This window comes from Homo sapiens, chromosome 11 (genome assembly GCF_000001405.40).
Source record: "Homo sapiens chromosome 11, GRCh38.p14 Primary Assembly".
Lineage (NCBI taxonomy): Eukaryota > Metazoa > Chordata > Mammalia > Primates > Hominidae > Homo > Homo sapiens.
This window is the reverse complement of record NC_000011.10, coordinates 122,553,930-122,560,246: the sequence shown is the minus strand read 5'-3', so window position 1 is coordinate 122,560,246 and position 6,317 is coordinate 122,553,930. Positions and strand designations below refer to the sequence as shown.

Sequence of the window (6,317 nt, the reverse complement as noted above, 5' to 3'; positions counted from 1 at the left end):
TTTTTTTTTTTTTCTTTTCTTTTTAAGAAGGAGTTTCACTCTTTTTGCCTAAGCTGGAGTGCAATGGCATGATCTCTGCTAACTGCAACCTCCGCTTGCCTCTAATTTTTCTTATTTTATTTTTTTTAAGATGGAGTTTCACTCTTTTTGCCTAAGCTGGAGTGCAATGGTGTGATCTCGGCTAAGTGCAACCTCCGCTCGCCTCCCAGCCTAAAAACAAACGCCATCGCCTGAACAGGGACTTGAACCCTGGACCCTCAGATTAAAAGTCTGATGCTCTACCAACTGAGCTATCCAGGCTACCCATTACTCAGTTTCTCCCCATTCTCCCTTTCCCCTAATCTCCCTGCCTCTGGTGGCCACTGTCGTACTCACCACTTCTACAAGACCAACTCTCTAGATTCCCGTGAGTGAGATCGTGCTGTATTTGTCTTTCTGTGTTTGGCTTATTTCACTTAACATAATGCCCTCCAGATTCATCCATGTTGTTGCAAATGACAGGATTCCATTCTCTTTTATGGCTGAATAGTATTCCACTGTGTATATATACCACATTTTCTTTTTCTTTGTTTTTGAGACGGAGTTTCGCTCTTATTGCCCAGGCTGGAATGCCATGGCATGATCTCGGCTCACCGCAACCTCCATCTCCTGGGTTCAAGCGATTCTCCTGCCTCAGCCATCTGAGTAGCTGGGATTACAGGCATGTGCCATCATGCCTGGCTAATTTTATATTTTTAGTAGAGATGGGGTTTATCCATGTTGGGCAGGCTGACCTCGAACTCCTGATCTCAGGTGATCTGCCCGCCTCAGCCTCCCAAAGTGTTGGGATTACAGGCATGAGCCACCGCGCCCTGCCATATATCACATTTTCTTTAACCATTCATCTGTTATTGAACACTTAGCTTGATTCTATATCTTGGCTATTGTAAATAATGCTGCGATAAACATGAAAGTACAGTTACCTTTTCAACGTACTGTTTTCATTTCATACCTAGTAGGCTGGGAGCGGCAGCTCATGCCTGTAATCCCAGTGCTTTGGGAGGCCGAGGCGGGTGGATCATGAGGTCAGGAGTTCAAGACCAGCCTGACCAATATGGTGAAACCCCGTTTCTACTAAAAATACAAAAATTAGCCGGGCGTGGTGATGCATGCCTGTAATCTCAGCTACTCGGGAGGCTGAGGCAGGGGAATGGCTTGAACCCAGGAGGCGGAGGTTGCAGTAAGCCAAGATCACGCTACTGCACTCCAATCTGGGCAACAGAGTGAGACCCTATCTCAAAAAAAAAAAAAAAAAAAAACAAAAAAACTATGTATCTACATATATCTATATATATAGTGGGATTGCTGGATCATATGGTAGTTCTATTTTTAATTTTTGGTAGAACCTCCATATTATTTTCCAAAATGGCTGTAATGGTTCTTTTTTCTCCACATCCTCAACAATAATTTGGTCTTTTTGATAATAGCCATTTGAAATGGAGTGAGGTGATATCTCATTGTGGTTTTGATTTGCATTTCCCTAATTAATGATGTTAAGCATTTTTCCATATGTCTGTTAGCCATCTGTATGTTTTCTTTTGAAAGAATATCTATTAAATATTTTTACCCATTTGCTTTTTTTTGAGCCAGAGTCTCACTCCGTTGCCTATGCTGGGAATCAGTGGCAAGAACATGACTCGCTGCAGTCTAGACCTCCTGGGTTCAAGCGATTCTGCCACTTGAGTCCCCCAAGTAGTTGGGACTACAGGCATCTACACCATGCCTGACTAATTTTTGTAGCGATGGGGTTTCACTATGTTGCCCAGGCTGGTCTTGAGCTCTTGGGCTCCAGTGATTCAACTGTCTTGCCTCCCAAAGTGCTGGGATTACAGGTGTGAGCCCAGCCATTTTGCCCATGTTTAAATAGCATGATGATGATTATTTTGCCTTTGAGTTGAGTTCCTTATCTATTCCAGATATTAACTCCATGTAAGATGTATAGTATGCAAATATTTTCTCCCATTTTATAGGTTGTCTTTTCCCTCTGTTGTTTTCTTTGCTTGCTTTTTAGCTTGATATGATTCCATTTGTTTATTTTTGCTTTCAATCCTTCTGCTTTTGAGGTCTTATCTACAAAACCATGAAAACACACTGCCCAGTTTAATGTCATGATTGTTTCTCCTATGTTCTCTTCTGCTAGTTTTTTTTTTTTTTTTTTTTTTTTTTTTTTTTTTTTTTTTTTTTTTTGGAGATGGAGTCTCGCTCTGTTACCCAAGCTAAAGTGCAGTGGCGCAATCTTGGCTCACTACAACCTCCAGTTCCTGGTTTCAAGTGATTCTCCTGCCTCAGCCTCCCGAGTAGCTAGGATTACAGACATGTGCCACCACTCCTGGCTAAAATTTTTGTATTTTTAGTAGAGATGGAGTTTCACCATGTTGGCCAGGCTGGTCTCGAACTCCTGACCTCAGGTGATCCTCTTGTGTCTGGAATTGGTGGGTTCTTGGTCTCGCTGACTTCAAGAATGAAGCCGCAGACCCTCGCAGTGAGTGTTACAGTTCTTAAAGATGGTGTGTCCGGAGTTTGTTCCTTCAGATGTTCAGATGTGTCCGGAGTTTCTTCTTTCTGGTGGGTTCCTGGTCTCGCTGGCTTCAGCAGTGAAGCTGCAGACCTTTGCGGTGAGTGTTACAGCTCATAAAGGCAGTGCAGACCCAAAGAGTGAGCAGCAGCAAGATTTATTGCTAAGAGCGAAAGAAGAAAGCTTCCACAACGTGGAACAGGACCAAACAGGTTGCTGCTGCTGGCTCGTGTGGCCTGCTTTTATTCCCTTATCTGGGCCCACCTACATTCTGCTGATTGGTCCATTTTACAGAGAGCTGATTGGTCCATTTTGACAGAGTGCTGATTGGTGTGTTTACAATCCTTTAGCTAGACACAGAGTGCCGAATGGTGCCTTCACAATCCTTTAGCTAGACACAAAAGTTCTCCAAGTCCCCACTAGATTAGCTAGATCCAGAGCGCTGATTGGTGTGTTTACAATCCTTTAGCTAGACACAGAGTGCTGAATGGCACGTTTACAATCCTTTAGCTAGACACAAAAGTTCTCCAAGTCCCCACCAGATTAGCTAGACACAGAGGGCTGGTTGGTGCATCTACAAACCTTTAGCTAGACACAGAATGCTGATTGGTACGTTTACAATCCTTTAGCTAGACAGAAAAGTTCTCCAAGTCCCCACCCGACCCAGAAGCCCAGCCGGCTTCACCTCTCAATGGCACTTGCAGTGGGACTTTGCGGCACCTGGCCCCGGCTCTCCAGCAGCCCAAAGGGAGCTCGTCCCCCTGATCAAGCCCATCAGGCGCCGGCCGCCGCGCGAAGTGCGGCCCGCTGAGCCCGCGCCCACCCAGAAACCGAGCCAGCTGGCGAGTGCGGCACGCAGCTCCGGCTCCCGCTCGCGCCTCCCACTCCACACCTCCCCGCCAGCAGAGGGAGCCGGCTTCGGCCTCAGCCAGCCCCAGAGAGGGGCCCCCACAGCGCAGCGGCGGGTTGAAGGGCTCCTCGAGGGCGGCCAGAGCCGACGCTGAGGAGGGGCAGAGAGCGAGCGATGGCTGCTAGCACGTTGTCACCTCTCACTCTCACCTCAGCTTCCCAAAGTGCTGGTATTACATGCATGAGCCACTGTACCCGGCCATCTTCTACTAGTTTTATAGTATAAGATTTTGTGTTTAAGTCTTTAATCCAGATGATCATGCCACTGTACTATGGCCTGGGCGACACAGCAATGTTTTTAAAATAAATAAACAAAATGAAGAGGACCCTCTGAAGGAAGCAGATTGCTCCCACAGGATATGGGAGACACCCCAAATACTGTAAGTGCCTAAACTGTGGAGGTGGGAAAGGGAGATTCTCAGCCACCAAACACACACCCCAAATGGGGAAACCGAAAGTCTAGTTTACACAAGAAGATTCTGAACTTACCTGGAGCTGAGTCAGTTTAGAGAACCAAGCAACATACGAGGGTAGAGGAAGCAGTGGGAAAGGCCCTGGGATCTCTCTGGGTCCCCAGAGAGACCATTCCTGCCTGGCATCACAGGGATCCTTTGGGAGGGTGGCCAGAGGCATGGGGGAAAATGCCACAGGGAGAAGGGAATCTACAGCTGAACTTTGTAACAATTTGAACTGGTTGAGAAGCCTCCTGGCCAGAACTCGGGGAGGGCGTGAATCCGGCAGGCAGACCCCACAGGTGGGGGAAGAATTAAAGCCCTACCTTCCTTTGCAGCTGGGAGGCAGGTGGCCTGGGGTAAGTTCTCAGTCCTGCTTGACCACTGCCTGGAAACAGACTCAGTGCTGTTAGGGGTGGCATGGCGGGAGTGAGACTGGCCCTTCACATTGCGTCGGAGCTGGGTGAGGCCTGTGACTGCCAGCTTCCCCAACTTCCCTAACAACCTGCATGACTCAGCAGAGGCAGCCATAATCCTCCTAGGTACATAACTTCATTGACCTGGAACCCTCACCTCTATTTCCCACAGCAGCTGCAGCAAGACCCACCCAAGGAGAGAGTCTGAGCTCAAAGACACCTAGCCCTGCTCCCACCTAATGGTCCTTCCCTACCCACTCTGGTCACAGAACACAAAGGGCATATATTCTTGAGAGTTCTAGGGCCTTGACTTTCATGCGCATCCGGGTGAAGAGACCACCAAACAGGCTTTGGGTGAGCAATAAAGCGTTTAATCACCAGGGTGCAGGCGGGTTGAGTCCGAAAAGACAGTCAGTGAAGGGAGATAAGTGTGGGGCCGTTTTATAGGATTTGGGTAGATAAAGGAAAATTACAGTCAAAGGGGATTTGTTCTCTGGTGGGCAGGAGTGGGGGTCGCAAGGTGCTCAGTGGGGGAGCTTTTTGAGCCAGGATGAGCCAGGAAAAGGACTTTCACAAGGTAATGTCATCAGTTAAGGCAAGGACCGGCCATTTTCACTTCTTTTGTGGTGGAATGTCATCAGTTAAGGCGGGGCAGGGCATTTTCACTTCTTTAGTGATTCTTCAGTTACTTCAAGCCATCTGGGCGTATGTGTGCAAGTCACAGGGGATGTGATGGCTTGGCTTGGGCTCAGAGGCCTGACATTCTTGCCTTCTTCTATTAATAAGAAAAATAAAACAAAATAGTGTTGAAGTGTTGGGGTGGCGAAAATTTTTGGGGGGTGGTATGGAGAGAGAGAATGGGCGATGTTTCTCAGGGCTGCTTCAAGCGGGATTAGGGACGGCGTGGGAACCTAGATTGGGAGAGATTAAGCTGAAGGGAGATCTTGTGGTAAAGGGTGATATTGTGGGGTTGTTAGAAGAAACATTTGTCATATAGAATGATTGGTGATGGCCTGGATACGGTTTTGGATGAATTGAGAAACTAAACAGAAGATACAAGGTCAGAATAAAAGAAGGAGAAAAATGAGTATTAAAGGACTAAGAATTGGGAGGACCCAGGACATCCAATTAGAGAGTGCCCAAGGGGGTTCTGCATAATTACTTGCTTGGTTGGCAAGTTTTTGGGCTCTATCCTTGAGTTTTTTTATGTTGTCATACACCAGGCCAGATAGATTTAGGTAAAAACAACACTCTTCATTTAAGAATATACAGAGTCCTCCTTTTTCAGCAGTAAGTTAAGGCCTCAGCGGTTTTGGAGGACAACTGCAGTTAAAGAGTCAACTTGGGCCTGGAGGACTGATGAAGTTTGTGATATGTCTGTGATGCTAGGAGAGAAGTCATTAGACAGGCTACAGAAGGTCGTGACAGAGGTTGAAATGCCTGCTATTCCAGTACCGAGAGCAGTAGTGGAGGCAGAAAGTCCTAAACTGACCAGCAAGGGAACTAGTGGAATAACTCTTTTTTGTTGTGTCAGTGTCATGAGGGGAACAGGGAGCTCTTTGGTCCTATTTGCAAATTGAATTTTGGGGGTAAGGAAAACTAGTGTGCATGTGCCTGTCTGATTAGCAGGTAGACACATGTAGGTAGAGGATCCACAGAGGAAGAAGAGACCTTGTGTGAGGCAAAACTGGAGGTGCAAAGTAAAAAGGTGAGAAGGAGTGCTGAAAGGGGTGTCTTGTACCCAGACTCCTGGGGTTGCAGCTAGGGCGGCAGCCGTCAGAGGTTGTAATGGGGACTGATGGGGTAACTGCACAGAGGGGGAGGTTTGATTTTCATGGTGTATGAGAAAACGTTGAGTAACTACGAGCAACCTTTCATTGTTATTTTCAGAGCTGGGTATAAGTAAACAAGAAGAGGGCCTGGGAGGAGAGTCTGACGAGCAAAGGGAAGGTAGCCAAGGATGGAGTGAAATACAGGGTAAGTGTC

General features: G+C 47.1%; 1 non-coding gene across 1 annotated transcript; it reads right to left on the bottom strand.

Moving 5' to 3' along the window:
* Window positions 1–227: 227 nt before the first annotated feature.
* On the bottom strand, window positions 228–300 carry TRK-TTT2-1 (tRNA-Lys (anticodon TTT) 2-1). Its single transcript has one exon. It is a non-coding gene; the product is annotated as a tRNA-Lys (tRNA).
* Between the last annotated feature and the right edge of the window lie 6,017 nt (window positions 301–6,317).